General features: G+C 38.1%; 1 protein-coding gene across 7 annotated transcripts in view, besides 2 other annotated features; it reads right to left on the bottom strand.

Annotated features, from left to right (window-relative positions):
• Positions 1-26672, bottom strand: part of GRM7 (glutamate metabotropic receptor 7) — an 880419-nt gene that overhangs the window by 38363 nt on the left and 815384 nt on the right. For 2 of the 7 annotated variants that reach the window (NM_181874.3, XM_017006272.2), the window contains exons 9-10: positions 22876-23122; positions 16723-16814 (exon numbers count right to left, since the gene is read on the bottom strand). In NM_181874.3, the coding sequence (NP_870989.1) occupies positions 16744-16814; positions 22876-23122 (318 nt within the window). In that variant the 3' untranslated portion in view covers positions 16723-16743. Of the gene's footprint in view, positions 1-8707; positions 9539-11842; positions 11962-12067; positions 12133-16722; positions 16815-22875; positions 23147-26672 lie in introns of those variants that run through there. The other 5 variants (NM_000844.4, XM_017006273.2, XR_001740135.3 and 2 more) reach the window with 4 other exon arrangements.
• Positions 2144-2694: an enhancer, noted in NCBI's record as "OCT4-NANOG hESC enhancer chr3:7742164-7742714 (GRCh37/hg19 assembly coordinates)". NCBI's record gives its function as "activates a minimal SCP1, AML or CMV promoter by ChIP-STARR-seq in naive H9 embryonic stem cells {active_cell/tissue: H9 hESC(naive)}" and the evidence as "EXISTENCE:reporter gene assay evidence [ECO:0000049][PMID:30033119]".
• Positions 19975-20542: an enhancer, noted in NCBI's record as "OCT4-NANOG hESC enhancer chr3:7724316-7724883 (GRCh37/hg19 assembly coordinates)". NCBI's record gives its function as "activates a minimal SCP1, AML or CMV promoter by ChIP-STARR-seq in primed H9 embryonic stem cells {active_cell/tissue: H9 hESC(primed)}" and the evidence as "EXISTENCE:reporter gene assay evidence [ECO:0000049][PMID:30033119]".

Genomic DNA, 26672 nt, shown 5'->3' with positions numbered 1-26672 from the left:
GCTACATTGCAGCAATGCTTCTCAGTTCTAGCTGACATTAGATTCACCTGGGGAGATATTTAAACTTATAGCTATATGGAAACTTACCCTAAACCAATTACATAGAATCCTGGGTGACAGATCCCAGGCACGGGTGTATGTTAAAAGGTGTCCAAGTGATTCAGATGAGCAGTCAGTACTGAGAACCATAGAGATAGAATATCCATATTTTAGCTAGTGATCATCTTGCTACTAGATCCTAATGTTGGATTAATTTTTTCATTAGTTTTTGTTATGACTATCTCCTCTGTATTTCAGTGTATTTTTTAAAATGTCATAGTGACATTTGAAAAAAGTGTTTTTGTACTCTGAGACTGTTCCAATAAGTTGCATCCCATCCTCTTCCTAATTATTCAAGAGCTGACTTACTGTTCGCAATTAGATGAAAATCTGTAGCCTGTAATTAGGATCAGTATATATGACAGTGCAAATGGAGTTTGAATATTTTATTATTTACGTGTTTAAGTGTTTCAAATCATTGTACTTATAAGAATAACTTAAAGCATCTTTTAAGTGAAATTATAACTTGCAGTATATTTTGTTTTCTAAGACAGAAACACCTTTAGATAACAATAGCCAATTGAATTGCATCAAGTTTTCATATTTAAATTTTAGTGTAGTTATATAATGGCTCTTTGAAGCCAGATTAAAATGTTTATGACTAGTGGACTCATATCTGCCATAGGGGTTAGGTTTTTAAATCAGCATGCATGGCAAAGGTTGTACATAGTCAAAATTTTCTTTCAGAATCCTTTAAATCTACATTATCCAGACTGTGCTCCAAAGACCAGCAACATGGGCATCACCCAGGAGACTGTGAAAAATGTGGAGTCTCCACAACTTACTGAATCTACACCCACAGTCTAACAAGATTCTTGGGTGATGGTATGGACATTAAAATTTGAGAAGCATTGCCTTAAATTATTCATTAATCACTAAGGCCTGAGACTTCAGTAGCTGAAGAGCCCACAATTATTTACTCAGTTTCTCTTTGCAGTTTTGTTGAGGCTTCATTTTTCCTTCTGAAGTGGGGGCCTGCCTCTAGGTTGAAGAAGGAAAGTAGGAAGAAGAATTTTTTTCTTTACTTCCTTCCCTGCTCCCTCCCTTTTCTTCTATATAGACTTCATGTGGTCCAATGCATGTTAGCTGAAAATGCATGCATTGAAACTCCATTGTATTTTATATGATAGTGTAAAAAATGGATTGCCTATCTACCATAGGCTTGGTGACGAAGATGCAATGGCAAAGAGGAAACAACGGTTCCCACTGTCATGGAGCTTAGTGTCTAAAAATGTCTAATTGAAGATCATCAGTGATTAGCAGGCTTTCAATGCATGAAGGATACTGTGTTCTGTTGAACTTAGTGTTCAGTTTCCAAATCTCTAGTGAAGAACATCTTCTCTTAGGAATCCCTGTGAACTGACCATCCACAGGGAGTTTTCTGAGTGAAGCTCCTACCATCCTACCACCCGTTTAATTACCCTCCTTCAATTCTTACTGAGGCCTGAAGGGATGACTTGAAATAAAGGCAGCTGGGCATGGTGGCTCACACCTGTAATCCCGCACTTTGGGGGGCCGAGGCGAGTGGATCACGAGGTCAGGAGATCGAGACCATCCTGGCTAACATGGTGAAACCCTGTCTCTACTAAAACATACAACAAAAATCACCTGGGTGTGGTGGTGTGCGCCTGTAGTCCCAGCTACTCAGGAGGCTGAGGCAGGAGAATGGCATGAACCCAGGAGACGGAGCTTGTAGTGAGCCGAGATCGTGCCACTGCACTTCAGCCTGTGTGACAGAGTGAGATTCCGTCTCAAAAAAAAAAAAAAAAAAAATGCAACCACAGGTATCTTCTGTATGAGCTTCCAAAACCAGGCCTCCAGTGGCCAAGGAGAATTAATGGCATTGGGAAAGAAAAGCATCTTTGGAGACAGACTGGGCAGCCTGCCAACAAGGTCCCCTGTATCGTTATGCCAGAGCTTCTCACTCATGCCCAATCCCAAGCATGTCTCAGGATGCTGGCGGTGCCAATTCCACATCATATATCGGCAGTCTCCAAATATTCTAAACAATTTCATGCATCTGTTCCCCTGGGGGAAAGGGTAAAAAGGGCTTCATTTTTCACTGCCCTCATAGGATTTTATTGATTCCACCTTCTGGATGCTTGCTTTCTGTTAACAACTGTCTTGAAGAAGAAAGCTTTTCACTTATGAAGGGAAGGAAAGAATGACCTGTGAGATGAGGACTGATCACCTAATCCTATGATCTGAATTTCTTTCTTACCTCTTAAAACTATTTACATTCCTGCCAGCTGCTGGCTGTCCTTAAAATGCCGCAAGATACTTGTAAGTGTCCTTTTTTTCCCTAACAATGCGTGGCAGATGTTTGGGGTTTCATGTCTTTCAATGCCTTTCATCAGTGCAGAAACTGCATTTCCTGGTGGCTGTTATCCCCATACAATGGCTGTTGTATAATGATTTATTGTGTTTAATCAGAAATTACAACTTGCTTCTGAATAAAGGGAACAAAGCACATATTACAGGATATTTATGACTAAATCTATTTACTATTTATGAAGAATCTAAAAGCTTAGCAATCTCCTTCAAAGACAAACTGTCAAGCTTGAAAAAATCTCCAGCTGTTTGAGATTTCAAATCCTTAGCAGAATGACCGATCTAGACTGAGGCACTCTATTTGAGTATCTTTTTTAAAACAAAGCTGTTGAAGACAGTTTTCTCTGTTATGTATTTTCTTTACTACAATGCAAGCTAAGAGCTTGGTGGCGTTCCCAGGAGAACTGCTGATGCTGAGATGCTTGGATCCTACAATTCCAGCTTCCACTGTCCTTCTGGCTGTCATTGAGACCAGAGAGATGTGTTGTTGGGAGAGGGAGGCAGGTTTCTGACTTGAGTTCAGGGACATCCACTGAGTCGCGGGGATGTGCCCTTGTTGAAAGCAGGTTGTTGTCTTATCTGAATACAGAAGAAATTTCTGAGAGGTTCCAAAGGAGATCTGATCTCCCAAAAGTCCTAGATGATTCTGCTAAATGCTAGTTGAGAAGGGACACCAATTTCTGAGTATCAGCTATGTATCAGATCACATCCTGGGACGTTAGCTTGTGCCATCTCACCCAGTCTTGAAATAACTTGCTTACAGAGGGTACTGTATCCCTGTGTTGACAGACGAGGCAGCTTAGATGGGAAGATGTTTGTTTCAGAGTTATGCCAGGTCCAACTCCAGAGCCTGTAACTCTGACCCTAGACTGGCTCTCCAGTCAAAGATGCCTCACTTCTTCTGGGATCAGATAACTTTTGTTAGGCAATCAGGTTATTTTTTTAAAGAAAAACTTGTATCTTCAAAACTATAAAGTTGGTTAGAAGCTTGGAACTGCACTAGATTCAAAATGCTCATAGCAGTCTTATAAAGAGGGCTAAGAAAATAATTCTTTGTAATCCTTCCCAATGACATGATAAAAAAAACCCAGTAGGAGCCAAAATAAGTAGCAGAAAAGAAAAAAAATTCGCTAATTTTTGAAAATGGATGAATTTTATGATTAGATCAGTGTTGTCTACTCACCAACAGAGGTGCAGTTCAAATTAGATCCATTCGAACCATACATTTTCAAATTTAAAAAATTGTTTCATAAAAGTAACTTGTTTGTTATAGAATTTAGAAAGTACATAGGCTTTTCCTTTCCTGATTATAAGAACTACTCTAAATACATATCCCCTGGTTTGAAATGTGTATGTAGAGAGTTGAAGGAAGAATACTTCTATTTTTTCCCATTGTCACCAACTGTCTAGTAAATATTCCTGTAGAGATGTCCTCTCTAAAGTTTATGTAATTATGTTCACATTTACAGGTGACCTGGGGTCTGATGACAGAGCTTTTTCAGAAAACTAGGTAGTCAGTTTTTCCCTAGATGTAGAATCTTTCTTACCTGAAATCAAACTTTGAGTTTTGAACTTTCAGGTCAGGATTGACTGTAACCCAGAGACCACTAAGGTCAACTTTTGCACTGTTCTGAGAGATTACCCTTTGCCATCTGTAGCTTTGAGATTTTTGAGCATAGATTTTTATAAAGTCTGCAGATATATCCTGTTCCTAAGCTAAGATGCCGAAAGCATGTAGGGTCTCTGACAATACTTCCCGCCCCAGTGTTTCTGCATATTATCTTTTCTGCTACTCCTTGGTTGTAAAACCTCAATTGACATCTTTCTCTATATAGAGTACATTCCCATAGCTTTCAGAAGAGAATTTGGGAATATTCACAGCTAAGTTCTAGTTGTTTTTTCTGCTCTTCTCCAGGCTTACCCATCATGTAGTAGCCCGGGGGTACTTAACTGAGAGTAATTGTGCCCTCAGAAAACATTAGGCAATTTCTGGCGATGTCTTTGATGGTCAGCATTGGGGTGGAAGTCAAAGATGTTGCTAAACATCCTCAGATGCAGAGGACAGCCCACTGCAACAAGAATTGTCCAGGCCCACATGTCAGTAGTGCCATGGTTGAAAAGGCCTGTGGTTTAGCTGTACTGGAAAACAGACCTTCCACAAACACACCATGTATTTACCTACCACTGGGAGGTAGTCCATTGGTTAGAGCATGATCTCTGGGCCCAAATGGCCTGGGCTTATCTCCAAGATCCTCTACTTATCAGCTGTGTGACTTAGAGAAAATTATTTAAAATATCTGTACCTCAGTTTGCTTATCTGTAAAAGGAGCCTAATGATGTCTATCACATACAGTTGTATAATTAAATGAGCTAATACATATTAAGTACACAGAATAGTGGCTGGTGCATGGGAAGAACCCAATATGTGCCACACAGCATGGCTGCCACTGCTGCTGCCACTTTATGCATTTGGACTTTATTGAGGACGATCCCTCTGCCCAGAACACTATCTCCCATATTGCCTCATCTTTAAGCCATAGTCAGACTTTCCCCTTGCAAATGGCCCCCTTCAGTCCTCTTTACATACATCTGGCATAAGTCAATGTATAATGCCTGGCAAAGAGTAATTTGTTCTCCTTTCTCCTTTTAATTGCAAACTCTTGGAGGAGCTACGGCTTGCTCTATCTCAGCCTTCCATGCAGAGTCCCTAACAAGAGTAACCACTCTGTAAATTAATAGCAAACTTTTCTTTCTTTTCAGACTTAATATAACCTTTTTAGTAAACCTCACAAGACGATTTGTTCGAACACAAGAAGCCTGGTTTTAAATTGGGCATTTGCAGTGTCTTTATAACCCCTACAGTAATGGTGGAACCTCCTTAATAGTTGGCACTGAAAGCCAAAAGCTGAGTGAAAGTGCAGAGTGGAATGCTGTCTCCTCCCTCAGACACAAGACAGACACTCATCTTCAGCTATGCCAGCCTTCTGGCCTTGGGGAGATATGCACCATGAACTGCTATGTAGCGCTAATAATTCACTCCTCCTTTTAAAGCTGTCTGTCTTGATTGATTTTCCATTCTGGCTTGAGCTAGATAAGGTGACAAGTGGCGACTCACTGCTCATCATCTATGAGTAGAAGAAACTAAAATGATTTTGTACACTGCATTGTAAATCTGAATCTTCTATCATGAGATAACTTTTGTTGTTCTCTCCTTGGCTTAAAATTAAATTTTTTAGTTCAAAAATATTACAGCTCTTTAATGAAGAAATGCTGAGGTATAAAGGGATCAGAACGGGTTCTAAAACTTCTGTCACTAATACCTTGGATCATTTTCTTAGCCTCTCTGAGCCTTACTTCAGGCTTTCTATAAATGAGGATAATGACACCTACCTCAGTGAGATACCCTGAAGATAAAAAAAAGATGCTGAATTTGCAAGCACATAATAAAACAAAACTATAAAATGTTACATAAGGGCAAGTTGATTACAATAGTTAATTGATGATGATGTAATTTTTAAAAATTAGGTATATTTTTCTTTTTTGCCTATTTTATACTTCTGGACACAAACTCATTGATGCTATTTTATTGAGAAGATTGAGAAGTCAATATTTTTAAAAATGTATAGCTTGTATGCAAGTTCATAGAAAGAAAGACATGGTTCTTTCTTTCTCAATCCCTTATCTGGCCATTTAACAGCTTGAGTTCTGTCTGGAATGAGCACCTGAGATGCTGAGGGAGGTTTATCTTTAGCTGTAGTGTACTCAACCCGATTGATAGAACTGGCCTGGAACTGGGATTAAATATCTTTTGCTGGCTCTTCTTACTAGCTTTCCATGCTAGTTTTAAATAAAAGCTCTCCCAATATATAAATTGACAGCAGAAACTCCTCTAGCTAATGTAAAACATTATTAACTGTTCACGATTCACATAAAACTTCTGATCGCTGAAAAATAGCCATCTTCAGTCCTTTGCCTGTACTGTTTTTTCCTTCTGAAACATTTACAAAGCAACTGTCAGACAATGTTGCCAAGGGCTAACCATGCACAGAAAAAAATAAGACACGTCAATTTGACTTTTTAGAAAAAGAGAATTTTCCAGCTGACAACCGAATCTCAAAGTTGGCCAATCCAAGTGAAAAGTGCTTGGAAGTGTTCTGTTTAAGGTTGGGTGAAGCCTCTGTTCATATCCTTGAATATTTAATTTGGCTTTTCTGTTACTAAGGAAACATGGCATGATGAGTGAATATGCACATTACTTCCATTTGGGTGGTGACTAAGAAAACCATCCTCCCTTAGATACAGGGCCTTACTGTAGTCATTATCCATGTACTGACCACAAACAAACTTGCCATCTTGCCTCCTTTTCAAGAATTAGGTTCAACTATAGAATGAATGAATAGAAAGCATTAAACATAGCTTGTGAAAGGAATTGGGGAAACCTTCTCAACTAAGAGAACATCATTTCTGGCAAACTATTTTTGTTAGCTCACAATATATGTCGTACACTCTACAATGTAAATGGCTTTTTACTAGAAGCTACAAAAGAAATGGGTCCAAACACTCCTGAGAGACCTATAGACAATTCTCATAAGCAATGGGGAGTATTAAGAACAACAGGAACTCTTCTGTAAAGGACGTTCTTATCCCTCTTTTTACCTTCTCTAAGCTGTGGCTCAGTGCTATTTAATTTTTTGTGATAATGGAAATCTTCTCTAACTTTGTGGTCCAATATGGGAGCTGCTAGCTACATGTGCCTGTTGAGAACCTGAAATCTAACTAGTGCAACTGAGAAGCCGAATGTTTAAGATTATTTAATTCTCATTAATTTAAATAGCCACAGGTATCCAGTGGCTACTGTATGGATTGACAACTATATGTCAGTTGATGATAGTCATTAAGGAGAAACAACAAATTATTTAGCATTCTATTTTATGCCAATCACTGTTTTAAGCATCATGTCATATATATTAACTAATCTAATCCTAATAACTGCCCCATGCGGTAGTTACTAAGATTATACCAATTTTACAGATGAGAAAACTGATGTGCAGAGTAGGCAACATGGCCACATCACAATCTGGAGAACGACAAAGTTGGATTTAGAATCCAGGTATATGGGCTCCAGCATCTTAAGTCTTAACCTGGGCACTAGACTGCTTCTCCACAAGATCATGGCTGATTTATTAACAGCAACAGTTATGGAAGACTATCCTGACCATTTTCACTACTTGATTGGGCAGAAACGCATAGAAAGCATAAATGAAGATTTAAAAATCATAATCTCTTTGAGGACTTCAGGGCTAAAAAAAAATGTAGACTTCCTCGGCTGAGTGCCTTGAAATGATTGCATAAGATGTATCAACACACTTTGCCTACAAAAGGCCAGGCCTTGTGGCTGACTGAGTGCAGAAAAAAGGAATATTGACCCAGCTTCTTATTGAGTGTTGTCATGGAGATTCAGCTTTAAACAAAGGTGATGCTATGTTTTTCTGCTCCAGTAACAGAGCTCAGCAATTAACTTCAGCTTTATTTAGTCTGCAACACCAGTCTGGAGAGTCTCTTGAGAGAGGACCTTGACATAGCTTCTCACAGTGCTAGCCTACAGAGGGGTGACTTCTTGGGGACATGGTAGATGCCACTTGTGCAATAAACCCAAATAACTTTTCAAAAATCAATCATTTTAATACCATGAAAAACACTTTGCTCTGTAAGTGATCACCATCACTTCAATGCCGTATTGCATGTGTTTCTTATCAAGGACAATTTAAAAAATAAGACTGTTTCCCAAACCTGGATGTGCATCAGAATCACTGGGAAGCTTGTTAAATACAGGTGACCTTTTGATGCCCACCAGGTTAGGGGAACAAATGATTTAAATTAGACCGAAGTATAAACTGAAATGTACTTTAGAAGGTTTGTTTTTGGCAAATTTTCTGCCATACATAGGACTTTTTAAAATTGGTCATTGGTGTTTCCTTAAATATCTGAGTACTAACAGGTACTAATTTTTAAACCATGATGGTGAAAATGTTGAATGTATTTATGCCTAGAGTCAGGAAACATGCGTTGTGTTATGAAATTAAATGAAAACTGAGTGTGTTTAAATGTGATTTCCCAGATAGCTCATTTGACAATACAGTGAAATTTTGGCTTTAAGGCATCATTGCTCCAAAAATGATCAGTACTAAATAGGTTGAAGACAAGACAGGAGATGTGTTGATATTTCAAGATGTAAAATCCTGCAGGTTGTTCCAAACAAAAATTAGATGCAGATGGATTGCTTGACATTCTTAAACTTTATTATGTGTGGTACAGGATGACAATGGGTACAAGAGACCAAATAGAAGAATATCAGATGGGAATCTCCAAAATCCTTTCCTAGAGGAAACAGAAACAGAAAATCCAGTTAATTTGAGATGACGCCATCACAACACTGATGGTTAACATTTGAACGGCTGTTGTGCCAAATTCTGATCTAAGCCCTTTACCTTTATTTATTTCTCACTACTACCATATGAGGTTCTATTTTGCAGATGAGGAAATTTAGACACAGAGAGATGATCTTTTCTAAAGAGTCAGCATTTTCTTGCTTGGCATTAATGATAAAGTTTCACCTACTGATCCCTTATTTGATTTTCTTTTCCTGTAAATGGGAATGGGTCAGAACCCCCCATGAATGCTACTCTTCCTGCATTCTTGACCCAGAAAAAACTGAGAATCCAGTACTCAGAAAGAGACTGGCTTTTCAGTATTGCATCACAGTAGAACAATAGATCACAGTAGGGATCTCTTCATCATTTGGTACCATGGATGTCTTCCTTACATAAAGCTCCTAGACAATATTCTAGTGGGCCATGATCTCAAGACATCTTTAGTGCAATTTCCTTAATTATGTTGGACTTTTAAGAGGATGTTGCTGGCATGTGATGAGAACTACCCCCGACTAAACTCATGCAAACAGGATAAGGTCTCTTTCACTCATCATTAAGTTCATTGGTGGGCTGGGTAGCAAAGCTTCCTTAGGACACTTAGAAGGACAGATACTTGCCTCAGACAATCGCTTGACTAGATGCCAGTGCAGATGGTCAGTAGCAGTTGCACTTCTCACCTGAATAAAAACAACAGCTCAAGTCTCAGTCTGGACTTTGGCAAACCACAGGAAATTAAATGCAAATGAAATTTGCAAACATGACAAAAATGAGGGAAAGAGGAATTAAGGTCCAAGAACAAAAATGTAGCATTTTTCATACTAACCCTAGGAGGCCAGCTTAATCAAATTTTCAGCTCAGACTGATAATGACCCTGGTGGCCAGTTTCTTTATAGGGCTTTGCTATGGCAAAAGCAGAGAGAGGAGCAGGTGATGAGGGGGTGGGGGGAATTAGCTTTTCACATTTTTGTTCCAGGAAATTGCCATTTTTTAATGTTAGCAAATCTTCTGAGTTTAATTACCTTTGCTCATGTTTCCATGCCAAACTTGATTACCTTAAGCAGAGGTGAGTCTTTTTATAACCATCTGTATATGAAGACTCATCGTTTGAACTCTGAATGGCTAAACTTCACTCAGGATGACCAGTAGATGTCAAATATGATCATCAATGGATTTCAATGAATTCTGAGAATTAAACATTTCCGTTCTAGCAGACCATGTTCTTTGTATAACAGGAAGTACAGTATTTAAATTTTTAGACCATCAAAAAAAATCCAAGAGGAAGTGAAATTATATCCAGTGGTCTTTGCAATATCGAAAAGAAAAAAAAAAAAAGAAAGAAAGAAAGATGCATCTCACTCCACAGTGGCCCTGAAGTTAGATTATGTTTCCCTCCTTGAAACCCTGGAGGACCTATCTAATCTTTAGCAAACTGAGGGCCTCTAGAATCAACTTACGAGAAGAAGAAATGATGATGAGATGGATGATGTAGACTGAGACATTTTACCCTATTCAATCCCATTTCAGAAAAATTCATTAGAAAGACCTCTGGTCATGAGACCTGAGTACAGGTGTCTACTCTGCCACTCATTGGTGTGTGTTACTAGAAAGTTAATTCACTGCTCTAAGTCAGTTTTGCCACCTGTCAATAAGACCTGCTTCAATGGATAGTTGAGTACATTCTAAACTTTGCAGCAATAGTGAAAATATGGTGAAAATTTCTAATATTATTATTAAATTGTTGCAAATGATCATGATAGGCCCTTTGAAGACTGAGATGAATGAGTCTGGCCCCCCAGGGTGGTCCCATATTTAATATAAGTGCAATAAAAGCCAAACTTCCAAGTATCAAGGAAGATCTCTGAGAAGTTTTGTTAATTGATTTTTTGGTAGGATCCCAGCTTCTGAAGGAAACCAAATGTGTTTTCATGAGCTAAAATTAAGGGAATCTGTTCCACTCAGTCATCATTCTATCACTCAAGACATACCCCAGAACTATTATTTGTACTTAAAATGCTCTTCAGCTTGCCAGCCGGCCAGGAGCTACCTGTCGAAGTTAATCACATGTAGTGGTTCATATATCAGGTGGTATGAGCCTATCTGTCCCATAGCAGCTTTGCTGAGTGACTGATAGCCTTCTCTCTCAATTTCACCAAGCCAAAAGACTACTAATGATGCATCAAAAGGCCACAGTAAACTATCTTGAAAATAGAGATTGTTGTACCTAGAGAAAAGGTTGCCTGACTTTATTGGCAATCCTAGATATCATGACTTCCAACTCTGAGAGTTTATGATAGACAAAAATGTAACGAAAACAAAAAAGAGAAAGGAAAGCCAGTTAAAATAAAACACAGGGCCGGCCACAGTGGCTCACACCTGTAATCCCAGCACTTTGGGAGGCTGAGGTGGGCGGATCATGAGGTCAGGAGTTCGAGACCAGCCTGACAAACATGGTGAAACCCCATATCCACTAAAAATACAAAAATTAGCCAGGCATGGTGGCACATGCCTGTAATCCCAGCTACTCGGGAGGCTGAGGCAGGAGAATCACTTGAACCCAGGAGGCAGACGTTGCAGTGAGCGGAGATCATGCCATTGCACTCCTGGCTGGGTGACAGGGCGAGCCTCCATCTCAAATAAATAAATAAACAAAACAGAATAAAAAAACCAGATGAGCAGAGACCAACAATGTTATCTTATGTACCCTGACATATGCACAGTCAGCCCTTCAAAACAGGGCTTTCATATACAGAATCTCATGCCACCTCCATGGTACCTCATCAAGATTAGCTTATTTCCATCTTATTAAAGAGGAAACTGAGGATTGAAACTTATCCACAATCAGAGATCCATTAAGTGATGAAGCTTATGCTACCCCAAGTATCAGAGCCAGGATGGGACTCCCAGTCCAGTTTTTCTTTTTCTTGACCAGAGAAAAAGATAGCACATGCCAGGTTATAACCAATACTTGGACCAACACTTACAGAAAATGGAGTTGCTGATCCATGTCATGTTTTCCTAAGTGTTGGGTCAGCTCAAGAAGAACAAGCTTTGGAAATGTTATCTCAATCCTCTTTGTGCAAGCTGAGGTCCTCAGAGGTTACTATGAAAAAGGGCAGAGATATAAAGGGAATTGAAAACTAATCTTCAACTTGAAAAAAAACATGAGAATAGTCATTTAGATCATAGAGAGAAATAATGATTACCTTTGATTCCTAGAGAAAGTTAATTTAAAGTGTAATCCAAGTTCCACTGTACAGCCAAAAAAAAAAATCTGCAAAGTTGAGATACATCTTTAGTAGATGGAAACGAGTCACAAGGGTCACCTCTCTTGAATATTGGGAAGATGCTCATTCACAATGATTGGGGGAAAGAAAGATTTTGGAGATTAACTGACCTTGGTTTAGGATACACAGTGTTTTTTAAATACAAATGATATTTGGTATCATGATAAAGACAAAATCTGTCCTGAATGACAGTCTCTAAGGAAATGCACTCAACAGTCAGAAAACCACCAATTTGATTGCTTATGTTTTTGTGTTTACCAAATTAGAATCTATAACTATTTAAAGCAAGTCCTTAGGATCCATGTCCAGTGGAATCTTTCAAGTTCATGTGCACTTTGAAAGTATAGATATCTGTGGCCCATGAAATAAAATAGGCATAAAACTTCGTTGGTTTATAAATGGGTTTAGCACAAGAAAAGAAATTAATTACACAAGCTGAGATGTGGCACTGACACCCATTTCAGGAGCTGTACATTACAACTACACCATATTTTTGAAACCTGTGACATCACGTTTATACATTGTATTTTTAGGGTGGGCTTTGTGACCTTAGAGGCTTTATCTGGAAGAATATAATTTCACCTGCTGAGGCTGTAGACTTATTATTGTTTTTATTTTTATAATATTTATTATTATTGCTAACAAATATTCACTTATAAATGTTTCCCGTGCATCTACCGAGTTCTAGGTAACAGGAGCCTTTGGTATGGGAAGTATTGTGCGCTACTCATTCCAAGCACATTTTCTCACAGCCTAGTACTTACTAGCCTTTGTACTTAAAGGCACAAAGACGAAGGAAACTCAGTCTTTCTACCCTCAGGCTGCTTCCTGCATTTCATTCCCGAAAACGGTATGCTTCAAAGCCCAATAGCCTCACGTAACTGCTTTCTAGTACCAGAACATGTCACATTCTCTTGTACTGCAGGTTCTTTGTGTATACTTTCCCCTACCTTGAGTGCCTTTCCGTTTATGGCTGCCTGGAGCCCTTTATCTTTTAAGAGCAACTCAAGCAAAACATCCCGGGTGATGGTCTCCACCTGTAGCTTGGTGACACTTGGCACATACCTTGAGGAAGAGCCCTTGTCACCTTTGAGTCTATTACTTACCTTTGAGTCTTCCATCAGATCTGAGCTCCCTGAAGGCATTGTCCCCTCCTGTCCCCCACTCCTAGTCAGTTCATGGATGGCCTAGAGGAGAGGTGCTTGGCAAATATTTCTTTGATTGACCCAATTTAAGGATACTCAGTAAAAAATCTTGACCAGATAGGGCAGTGCAATGCATATATGTAAAACTTGACATAGTTTTTGTGACTTTGAGATATGATGTGTACATTTCTTTTATGCAAGGAATGAGAGAAGTAGTAGCCATGTAAACATTCATCCAGTTCTTTAAGTTGAACTTAAGACGGCAGTTGCAGAACCAAGACGGCAGATATTAATTGGATTTTGAAGATATGCTGAGATATCAAGCCTTGGCGAGAGAAATGATGGTGTCTCACAGACCTCTTAGGCAGAGAGAAATATGCCAAAAAGATTTATAGCTGCATTTATTCCCAAGGTGATTTAGTGTCAAAGGTCAGATAACATATATTCTTTGCTGTATTTATACTGTTTCAAAGTGAATTTTAAGTGGAGGTGGTCTCCAGTTACAGCAGAGATAACACATTGAATGTTAAAGAGGGAGAGTCCCAACATGATACGAAAACTTGCACTGCACAGTTCCAAAAAGCTTAAAATTGCCAAATAATCCCATTCATTACAATAAACCAATATGATTTTTATAATATCATTCAATAATGGATGTCAATAATACAATTCATGTGTTTGGCATTCTCGCAAGGCTTAATTATACTCTCAAAGTTTTTTCATCCAAATACCATCCTAGGGTGTGAAAATTTACCTCCTAACAAAACTTATTTCCTGACCCAGTCATGGTGATGATGCCAGATTAATTGTGCTTTTTATTTTGTACCTAATTGCATTTCGACATAAATGTCATTAGGTTGATAACACTTTGCAGAGTTTTAAAATTTATAAATATTCATGTAAAGGATGCAGAAAGTATTGATTCTGCTGATGCCTGGCTGAGAGTGTTTGTCACCTGAGAGTGCTTTTAAACAGTGGCATGTTACAGAATGCATTTTCAAACCAGGCTTAGGTTATGTTCCATCTGAATTTGAACCTACTTCCTTCAAATCCCTGTAAGCAAATATTTGATTTGCTGTAAACAGTGTGGCTTTGTTGGAACATGATGCCTGACACTAAGTTTTAATAGCACAGTAATATGAAAATTTACTCTTGAATCTGTGGTTTTCTTTTTACTGTCTTGTCTCCCCAAAAGCAATCACTTAGAAATGGATTTGAACGCATAACCTTAAGAGACTTCTTTCATTGCCCTCCCAAGTTTACTAGTCCCATTACTGACCTGAACAAGTAAATCACGTGTTCCTTGAGTTAATGTAACTTAAACCAACTTATATCCCCAATTATTTTGAAGCAGTTCTACAAAATGTTTATCATTAATGTTTAAAGTCACATTTAAATTGGTCAGAAAAGGGAACCAAATATAATTATTATTTGTATTTGGAATACCATTGCGAAAATAAAGATGGGAAGAAATAGAATAATAAACTAATAAAAGCCCTATGATATTGACATAGGAAACAGACCAGTCCACATTATTAAGCAATTATTCCCCTCTCATGATGTGACCTCATTGCTTTATCTCATCAAAATCTTTGAAGTAAGACAATTCTAGCTACAAGTTTGAATTTACTTCTAATCTGTATATCCTAAAAGTGTTTTTTAACCAAAAGATTGACTTAAAATATTTTCATCTGACTCCCTTTAAACCCAAAGGCGTCAACTTAGACAGGAGCAAAAGGATTTTTAATGGATTGAGATTAAATCTATCATTTTTACCCAGGAAAATTCCTTCTTATTTATTCTCAGTCAGTCTCACGTAAAAAGACTATTAAAGTGTTGAGCTCCAGTGTTTTGACTAGCACTTGTACTACAAAAAAAACTTGAAATCTCACGGGAATACAGTTACATATTCACTGGGAGAAAGAATGGCCTATTTAAAAACTAGGACAGATCATGTTGATAGGGAAAAAGGAAATAACTATGTGAACAATATACCCTAAATTAAAGACCGAGTTACTGGCATCCATCTAAAGTCAACAGAAAATGTCATTACTCTTTGGAAGTACTCTTATGCTGTTTTACCATACTAAATGGATAAAAGAGAGAGAGAGAAAGATTTTATTTATATTCGGAATACTATTACACAAACAAGGATGGGAAGAACCAGAACAGTGATCTGATAAAAGTCCCATGTTATCAGTGTAGGAAAGAGAAAGGCCAGTCTACATCATTAAGCAATATTTTTCCCCTCCTGCGGTATGACCTCACTGCTTACTCTCTTGGAATCTCTCTAGAGACAGGTCTCTCTATTATATGAGTACAATAGGAGGTTCAGAGAAAATCAAAAGAGAACATTTTACTCAAAGCCACCACATGACTTTAATAACTTATTCCATGTTCTCTACTGCATATTTTTCCATAGTTTGGAATGCCCTGTTCCACGTGGATGAGGATGCTTGCCATAGCAAGTGTTGTTTTCCACTGTCGTGTAATATTGCTTAGGCTGAAACAGCGTGATGATAATATCCTTTCAGAGTATATTTTCTTTAGTGAGAGCCTAAAGCAATATAAAAGCATCTGTGGTGAATCCATTATTATTCTTATGCCAGCCCACTCATGTGGCCAGTTCACACATCACACAATACATCATTTTCTCTAATCTATTTATTTGAACACCTTTGGCATTTATTGGTATTTCTTGGGTATAACCAATGTTCAAACTAATCTTTAGACCCTTGTGGTCTTTCATTGACCCTTTTTCTGCTTTTGTGTGATGACTTGATGACTAAAGTTGGTTCAGTGTTTCTCAAAGGCAGAACTATGAGCCACAAATCATCATCAACATATTATCAATCCCGGCCAGTAAACCGATTTATTTTCTGCAGAGAAGGAACCAAGACAACTTTGAATTACAGATGGAAAGGCCATTTGTTGCTATTTCAATGGATACTTTTTTAGGAATGTGTACACTTCTTTGAATGTATTTACTAAAAATAAATTAGAACAAACAATTTACTAGGTCTGCATTTACTAAGCATCCCCCTTCTCTCCTTGTAGGTTTTCCACACTGCCTTCTAAGCCCACAGTAGGAAAACATACATTGAGAAATACTGAGAAATAGTTTTTCACCACTGGTAGTTTTAAAGTAGAGCATGTGTCGGAATGACCAGCAACAGTTCTCTGCAATTACTGGCTAGCTGTTCAGGAAGACAAATGTGTATATACTCATAAACGTGTTCCTTAGAAAATTAAGCAGGCATATGACCAATGGCAGCTGCTGGCACTAAGCTTATCAAATCGATCATCTTTGAAAATTCATTTCTTCCTATAGATATATTTTCAGGTAATCATGCACAGTTTCCATGGAAACATTTCTAATTCTCATTGGAGACAAGAACACATAAATAAATAAGAATTAGATTGTTTTCTTACCTTTGGGAAAGCAGTCAAAAGCTATACTGTTGGTGGGATAGTGTACCAAGTAACAGACTTTTGTACACTCTTTCTTACTGGTGGTATACAGTCTACAGGAAAAGTAAATATATAGGTATGTATAAAATAAATGTGCACACAATATTACTTTTTATTATTATTATTTTCCTTTTGGGAAAAGGCTGCGATAGAGACCATACACATCATGCCCACTCTTTTGGTGGGTTCAATATCCTTTGGTAGACCAGGTCACCTCAATTCAGGTACCTCTGAACATGGGAGTACTGGTGCCTCTTGAGTTAAGGGAGTTGGGTTTTACTTGCTTGAGTTAGAACAGCTGAGGGAACCAGCCCAAACATAATTTATCTATCTGCTCAGAGCATTATTTTCTTCTTCTTGCCAGCCCTTTTTTCTCACCCTAGTCCAGTCATGCTGTCCAGCCTGTGTGGTTAGTCCAAGAGGATGAAACAAGTAACATAATGTTGAGAATGTTAGGGATCCAAACAAATGGAGAAGCAAAACAAAACAAGAACCATAACAAATTAACACAGCACAGAAGTGTGTTCTAGAATTTTCTAGGCACCATTATTTGTGTAGAGTTTTGGTGCCCACATCCATTTTCCAGCAGTCTGAATTCTTTTTCTTTCTTTTTTTTTTTTTAAATAACATACCTCCTTATATTGACAGTCCTAGTTTATGTAACAAATTTATTTTGTTGAGAACAGCACAAGTTGTTATTTATGTATTTTCCTTATTGTAGATGCAAATATGGTAGCACAAGAAAAACACCATCAGAATACAATTCCATATCTTATTTTGTATTTCAGGTACAAATTGTTATTCTTCTAACATGTGGTTCATCATACAATGTGTTAATTGGCTTAAACCAGTCTTTTAGGTAGTCTATGTCCAGTCTCTATCCCAGAGTGAGTTCATCAGTCATACATCTCCACATCCAAAAAAAAGGGTGTGTCCCTCGCTGTCCACCCGCCTGCCATCTCTAGTTGCTGCTGACCTGCCAGAGTAAACTCTCTATATCTAGCTAAGGTCCTTGAAGTATTTCTCTGCACGGCTTGCGGGCATTAGCTTAGAAAATGGATGGTAGCTTAAGAGAAAGGTAGCTTAGGGCCAGGCCTCTCTTCACTGTGATCTTTTACTAAAGAAAGCATGAGAGCCAAAGACAATTTACAGAACATCTTCTGGTTGATACCAGTCCAGGTGAAGAAGGCTGCAGTTCTTATCCGCCCATCCCAATAAAGCCATGCTGCCTCTTAGTTAATATTATCCATCCAACTTGAAAAGGATCGTCATGGCCATCAATAAGCCATAGCCCAAGCACAACCATGGCATCTTGTTTATCTGGCATCTACAAGTTTGCCATGAACATACATCTGCCAAGTGAACTGTAGAAAGTACAGGGAAACATGCCAAATTCAGGATGCAGGTGGGAGAAACAGTTTGAGGTGCCCTTCTTCTTAGACAGGAATGTGAGAAGGCATCATCATGGCCAGATATAAAGCTATTCAAACGAGGCCAGGTTCTTTTACACTTTTAGCAATGGAAGTCTTATTTGCATAAATAAAATTTAGTAAGTAGCTGAGCTACAGCCCTATGCCCTCTGAGCTTGCTATTTTTCAATCTAAGTGCAGAGACTAGCAAGCATTGGCCCAACTCTGAATATCTAATATGCCAGCAGTGCGCAGATAAATTGAAATTTTGAGATTTACTTTTTGTTTATTCCACACATAATGGAGTTTTTCTTTCATACAATGGACTGTTAGCTAAGGAAGCAAACTAAGAGGATAATTATATTTCTTGAGGAAAAAATATGGTAGTATAAATGTCTTCCCATATTAAGTCAGCAAGCAAATTCATTTTTATGTAGACATGTAGCTGCAGTGTGGAGTTGGATGAGTAGAAGCATGCATGCACCAGATGGCAAACTGCAGTGATGGAGCAGAGCTGTTAAAAGTGAAAACACTGAAGATTGAAATACATTGAGACTAAGTGTTTAGAGCAACAATGAATAAGAGGACATTTCTGTTCCACTATTTACTTTGTAGCTCATAGTGTAAACTCTACTTCCTCTCAGACACCCTCCCTCAGAAAATATTGTACAGAATTTGCCCACTGGAGAGACAAATTCCTTTTTCAAGTGCATGAGCTACGTTTTTGTTTGTTTTTAACCAGTCAGCTTAAATTCAGAAAATAATGTCATTTATCTCTGTTACAAAAGTTAAGATATTAGAGATAATTTTAGCTATATTTGGCATTAAACAGAATATTATAATGTTACCTAGTATAGCATAGTCATATCTGTTTTTATTAATTGAATTTTTCACTATCGTTCTTTTCCTATATACATGCATTTTTGCATTGCTGCGGACTGGTTTTTCAAATGTCATTGCTGTCTATGATGTTACTTTTTCCCTATTAGTGGCTCGTTTTGAGATCATTTTAAATGACTATTTGTATGTTTGTCTCATCTCAAATGTTTTATTTCTTTGAGTTTTGACTTTGTCCTAGATCAGTATCAATGCTAAAACTTTGGGAGCTATATCCAATGTGGACTCAAATTGAGTTTCCTAGAATAAAATCCTTGTCAATTTCTAGAGCTACACTGTCCAATACAGTAGCCTCAGTCAAAAGTGTGTGCTTAAATTTAAATACAATGTAAATAAAGTTTACTTAATTAAAAACTAAGTAAAATAACAAATGTATTTCTTCAGTTGAGTAGCTATATTTCAAATGTTCAATAGCCACATGTGCTAGTGCTTACTCTATTAGACAGCACACACATAAAACATGATCGTCACTGCAGAAAGTACTGTTGGACAGCTTTTGTGCAGATAAGCTCTTTGGATTCTTTTTTGGGACTTTTGAGAGTTGGGTCATCAGAAACCCCAATGTTTGGAGGTACATGAATCTCCTCCTATGGTTTAGCCAATATCTAGTTAAGTTTTCATGGTGTTTTAGGGTGTGTCTACACAATAACCAAAGAGCTAAAGCAATTTAAAAAAATCTTTCCAGCTGGTGGTGAGAAAAAGACTCTATTTTATTTTATTTTTCTGAATTGTTTACCTTGGCTCTATGTAGACACTAGAACAACAACAAAGACCCAGTGAAACTTTTGCAAGGAAAGAGATACCAAATGAAATCATTGGAATACAATTTTTAAATTAATCAAATGAGGCCTCTACCTGGGCAGCCTTCTTTGAGCTCAGGTTACTCCTGTCTTTGTAGACAAAACAAGCAATAATACGTTACAGTATGTTTAAAGAATCTCCCACCAAACATCATTATATTCTGCATATACAAATGATATTACCAAATAAGGAAACCAAAAGCATAGTTCCTGCATTGGAATTTCGACATGCCATTCATATTCTAAGAAACAGAGGAGCAAAGAGGAACAAGCGTGGGTTGAAGAGTCAGACCTGGGCTTTAGTCCAACCTCTGCTGTTAACCACATGTGTGGCTTTGATAATGTTACTTAATCTTGGGAAGCCAAGGTTTCCTCAGTAAAATAAGAATAACAATATCTATTCTATAGATCTACTGTGAGGAGTAAGTGGGACATTCCACACAAAGCATTCCGCATAATGCCTATTTCAATGAGTACCTTATGCAAGCATTAGCATTAATGTCAGTGTTAGCATTTTAACAACCAATGTCATACCCAAAAAAGCCTCAACAAGGATTGCACCTCATCATTAAATAGCAACAGTAGTAATGTTTTTTGAAAGTTAACAATTCTTAAGTAGCATAGTATTGAATTGTCTAAACTCAAAACTTCTAATTTCGTCTTTTTCCCCAGTAAATATAGCCCTCCAATTATGTTTTCTGCTTATTGACTTTGAACAGTATCTAGTTAAATGTGTGTGTGTGTGTGTGTGTGTGTGTGTGTGTACAAAAATAAAGCTGTTATTGGAATATTTGCAAGAAAAGGTTTTATGAAATGCAAATTTGACAAGACAACCTATAATAAAAAGCCACTAATTATAAATATACATATATGTTTATCAATACAGGTATAGGTATAATAGATGCACACATATGTTCATATAAATTCTTCTCTTTTTTTTCTTTTTCTTTTTTTTTTTTTTTTTTTTGAGATGGAGTTTTGCTCTTGTTGCCCAGGCTGGAGTGCAATGGCACGATCTCAGCTCACTGCAACCTCTGCCCTCCTGGGTTCAAGCGATTCTCCTGCCTCAGCCTCCCAAGTAGCTGGGATTACAGGCACGCGCAACCATGCCCGGCTAATTTTGTATTTTTAGTAGAGACGGGGTTTCTCCATGTTGGTCAGGCTGGTCACCAACTCCTAACCTCAGGTGATCCGCCCACCTCGTCCTCCCAAAGTGCTGGGATTACAGGCGTGAGCCACCACGCCCAGCCATAAATTCTTCTTTTGAGGATTGAGTTTTATCTACCCTGTGGTGTTTAATCTACACTTAACTGCATCTTTTTAGCTACTATATCTTAATAAATTATGCTGAAACTTATTTCTAAGCAAAGCTTTTTGCCTCTTCAGGAAGGGAAAGACGTTGACATTTAGTTGATATAGTATTTTCTCAATATAGTATTTTGTGATACACTTATGACATAGTTATTATCTCTTTTATACATAATTATGTTGAGTTTTAGAAAAGCTCAGTGATTCTTAATGCCACATGGCTGGTAAATGGAGTGGTTTACATTTGAACCCAGGTATGTCTCAACCCAAAGCCTCTTCCTACATCACACTGAATGCCACAGCAAGTCACCATCCACTTGCCCTCCTCTCAATTGGCCACTTGCTCTGGAGACACAACAGAGCCTATATCATTCATTCTGTTCCTCCCTTCTCAGTATGTTCCTTTAGACTTGTCCTAGGACTTCTGTCACAAAGTCAAACTGGAGCCCACAATGTTGTTAATTAACCTTGTTACTTTGTCTACATATTTTCAAAGTATTTCACGACATTCACTCAACTATTCATAAATAGAGACAGGCCAAAATCACAGTTCTTTGTGTAGTGTTTGTCAGGATCAAACCCAGTTGGCTTCTTGGTTTTTATTAAAGATATCTCTCTTATTTGCAGAGCAAAAAGGATTTCTTCAAGAGTACTTAAAATTGAGACTTCCTTCTATTTGGCATTAAGCATTTGACACCAAGATCAGCTTCTAACTGAAATACAGTATGTCGTGAATGACTTAATGGATAACCTGAAATCCCTTCTGCCTTAAACAACAGGAAGTATCACAAATATTTGAATCTGCCTCATTCTAAATGCAACTAGCCAAAATATTCCTGGAAAACAAATCTTAAAACTAGTATTTTAAATCTGAAATTTACTCTTACCACCATATTGTTAGTAAAGTTAGCAATTGGGAATTCTAAGCATTTAACCTTTGAGCTGGTCTTGTGTTACTTACAAAGTGATAGCTATATGCCCATTTTACCTGGGGACATTTGCATGCATGACTAAAGGCTCCTAGAGTTTTGCAGATATGCCATATAATAGCATCTTAAATCCAATGTTTTTTTTCCTTGATTTCTTCCCTAAGGTTTGTCTTGCATAGAATAAAACTCTTCTCCAGTGGTATGGTAGATATGTTTTTCCCCACAGTATGATGCCGTTATCATGGTAGTGTCTGGCCCTGTGTACCTGGATTTGACAACTTTTTCCAATATTTTATATGTTTCTAGAAGACCTGATTAGTACAAAATAACTTTTTCAACATTCACATGCTAGAGGAAAAAAGTTTCGCTTCCAAAATCCTAATTAATTCCCACCGATACAGTTCATTAAGTATGGAAGTTTCCCTGACAAAAAGTTGTTGCCTTAGCAGGAAGGGTGCAAGAAAAGAACAACCTGATAGGTGCATTTGTCAGTTGGAGGATTCAGTACCAGAGGACAAGAAGCAAGGGAAGGGGGAGGCTTCACACTTCTGAAGCAGAGCCTCCAAAAGCTTCTTTCCAACAAGGAACAAAAAGAAAATGGTGGCAGGAATGAGTCAAACTCAAAAGAGCAGAAGCTGGCATTCACCAAGGCAACCCAGCCCATAAGACAAGAACGATCACAGTATTTCTCCAGAGAGGCAAGCACACCCCACATCTTCTAGAGCTTCCTGATGCAGGGTGGGAAGATGAAAGAAACGGAGAGTTACTTACTGTTTGGGTCTACGTTTTCACAGAGCTCGGTCTTTGCCTCACCGTTGGGTCTGTCACTGGGTTTGTGTGACAGCCTCGATGACATGGTGGCTGCTGTGACTACCGCCTTGAAGCTTCGCTTCCGTTTCTGGACATTGAGTTCAGGGTGGAAAATGATGATGTACACTTTCGGCATGTATAGCATCCCCAGCGCCACTGATGCACTTAGGTTCATGGAGATTGTAAGCGTGGTAGTTTGTATGTAGAGCTAGGAGACACAACACACAAGGCACTATTACAAATAAAATGACTGCAGTAGGGGTCTGAACACTTAAAGCGATGTCAAGAACGACTATGGCTAGGAGATAAAGCAATCTTCAGGGCATTTTGATAAATAAAGGAAAGCACAATAACTCTGCACAGTTATTGGAGAGCATATGCATGTATTAATTGATTGAATGCTATTGGGTCAATCCATGCACATGCTTGCCCTACAGAAGTCTCTTATATTAAAGTTCAGAGTAAACCTTTAATCATATTTGAAGGACTTCTAATTGAAGTGGCAGCTAAATATAAAGACATGAAGACCATAGAAATCTGTAATCTTGATTAAGGTGTGGTTAGGTTTTATCTTTCATACATGTAAAAGAGGGTTCACACTCCATGATTTCTTCCTACATTGAGATTCTGGGGCCTTTTGAGAAGTCTTTATCTTAATGTATGTCTCTTTTTATATTGTTTTCTAGAAAGGCACGCCTTTTCCCTATCTGCTGAATAGTGAGTTGACTTTCTCTGAAAACTAAGATCTTCTTGCTTAATTCTGTCTTATAAAACACAAGTGACAAGTGAACAAGATCTAGTGATGTTGGCTTGTCTACTCTATATTGTCAAATTACTAATGAGATGCAACGCCTTATTCTGGAGTTGTGTTATTTGCAGTTTGGATGGTTTGTGCTTGCCTACTGTTTTAGACTAATTGTCCACTATTTCCCAACTCCCTGACCCCCTGATCCCCTGTCTTGCCTTCCCAGGGTTCCGTCCATTTGGGCTGTCCTTTAGATCATGAATGAACTGTACTCATTCAATCACAGAACTTTTCTCCATGCCCCTTTTCTTTATTTTTGTTTTCCTACGTATGGAACGTTCCTCCTTTTCTTCTTAGCATGCCCATCCCAGGCTGCCCGCACTCACAGCCTCAAGTCTAGGCCAGCTTCTTTACTGATACACTCTCAAAGGACTTCTTTAGATCATTTGTCTCTGTTGTAATTATGCACTCAGTATCTTGATCATTTTTCTGCCCATTTTCCTGCTAGGCCTTAAGTTCCATGAAGGCAGGATCTGTCTTTCTGGGACATTATTATTGTCTGCAAAGAAGGCACTTGATAAACATACAATGGATAGGCTCATGTGTTTGTCTAATGGACACCTTTTTCCTACCTATAACTCACTGGTTAAACAGCCTATCGCTATACAAAAATTTCCATCAGACATATTGGCTGCCTGGACATTTCTGATCTTAATTCTTCAAACAGAGGCCCTAGTGAAATCAAAGACAACTTTGCCATCTCGTCTGGAAATAATACAGTTTTCTAGCCAACATTAATTTGAATATGTATGTCTCCAAACGGTTAAAAGGAGCTACCAGCTGCTGACTATAATACATAATGAATGTAACATAGAAAGACAAAACAATGTTGAATTAATGACTCTTTAAAGTGTAAATTAGTTCATATTTTTAAAGTTCATATTTCCCTACTAGCATACCTTTAGACTTTTAATGTCATTCCACCTTGCCAGCCTACACTGTTCAAGAAAGGCTTTACATGGTCACAGGGCTTTATAGACATAGACAATTTTTGTCACCACTGTCACCGTACTTATGAGAGATTTGCAAACCATGGCTTAGTTCAAAAAGGAAAAGGATGTCAACAAACCTATGGGATCTTAGGTTTTGTTTCTGTTTCTCTGCTTATGAGTGAATTTTGCAGTTGATGAAATTATTCAGACTTCTTGTTTTATTATTTATAATTATAAATTATACATGCATATATGCTTATGTATATTTGTATGTGTGTACACATATGTTTTCTTTTTTCAACTTTTAGATTCAGGGGTACATGTGCAGGTTTATTACATGGGTATATTGCATGATGCTGAGGTTTGGGGTATGAATAATTCCACACTCAGGTACTGAAGATAGTACCTAATATTTATTTTTTCAACCCTTGCCCACTCTTCTATTAGGCCCCAGTGTCTACTGTCATCTTTATCTCCATGACTACCCAATGTTAAGCTGCACCTTATAAGTAAGAACATGAGGTATTTGATTTTCTGTTTCTGTGTTAATTCACCTAGAAAAATGGCCTACAGTTCAACATGGTTTGTTCTTTTTTATGGATGCATAATATTTCATGGTATATATGTACCACATTTTCTTTATCCAGCCCACTGTCGATGCACCTAGGTTGATTCCATGTCTTTGCTATTGTGAAAAGTGCTGTGAGTACATGCGTCTTTTGGTGGAACAATTTGTTGTCTTTTGACTATGTACCCAGTAACATACATACTTTTTCTTAACAAAGACTACTTAGCAATTTAGGACTCTACAACTATCATGTTTATTTTATGAAGTGTTTAGTTTCATCATTTTTAAACTAGAGACCATCAAGACTTTGATTTTCATTTAAAAAATTTTGCAGTCTCTGGTGACACTTCGAAAGTATGTGAAAACTGAAATAAACTTCACTAATCATATTTTTTCTACAGCCCCTCCATCCCTGAATCCTCTTGACATAGCACAGTGGATAAGAATGCAGATTCTAGAGCTAGTCTATCTGAGTTCAATTCCCATTTACTAGTTTTGTGACCTTGGACAAATTACTTCTCCTCAGCTTCGGTATCTGCAAAATGAGCATAAAAATAGTACCTACCTCATAATGTTGTCTTGCTTGATGGTTAAATAAGTATTTGTAAAGTGTTTAGTGTAGGGCCTAGCACATAGTATTAATAAGTAATATGTAAGTTTTTTTTTTTTTTTTTTTTTTTTTTTTTTTTAAAGACAGAGTCTCCCTCTATTGCCCAGGTTGGAGAGCAGTGGTGCGATCTCAGCTCACTGCAACCTCTGCCTCACGGGTTCAAGCGAGTCTCCTGCCTCAGTCTGCTGAGTAGCTGGGACTACAGGCACGTGCCACCGCGCCCGGCTAATTTTTTTGTATTTTTAGTAGAGACGGGGTTTCACCGTGTTAGCCAGGATGGTCTTGATCTCCTGACCTCGTGATCCTCCTGCCTCGGCCTCCCAAAGTGCTGGGATTACAGGCGTGAGCCACCATGCCCAGCCTTATTTTTTAATAAGTACAGTCATGCATCACTTAATGACAGAAATGTGTTCTAAGAAATGCATTATTAGGTAATTTGTTATTGTGCAACCATCATAATGTACTGACACAAATCTTGGTGGCATAGTCTACTAAAGTCCTAGGCTAAACGGTTTAACCTATTGCTCCTAGGCTACAAACCTTTACAGCATGTTACAATACTGAATACTGTGGGCAATTGTAACACAGTGGTATTTATGTATCTAAATATAGTTAAACATAGGCTCACACCTGTAATCCTAGCACTTTGGGAGGCCGAGGCGGGCAGATCACCTGAGGTCAGGCATTCAAGACCAGCCTGGCCAACATGGCAAAACCCCACCAGGTGTGGTGGCGGGTGCCTGTAATCCCAGTAACTCAGGAGGCTGAGCCAAGAGAATCACTTGAATCTGGGAGGCACAGGTTGCAGAGAGCGGAGATCACATCACTGCATTCCCAGCCTGG

The sequence above is a fragment of the Homo sapiens genome, chromosome 3 (genome assembly GCF_000001405.40).
Source record: "Homo sapiens chromosome 3, GRCh38.p14 Primary Assembly".
Taxonomy (NCBI): Eukaryota; Metazoa; Chordata; class Mammalia; order Primates; family Hominidae; genus Homo; species Homo sapiens.
The sequence above is the reverse complement of the archived record's forward strand: the minus strand, read 5'-3'. Positions and strand labels throughout refer to the sequence as shown.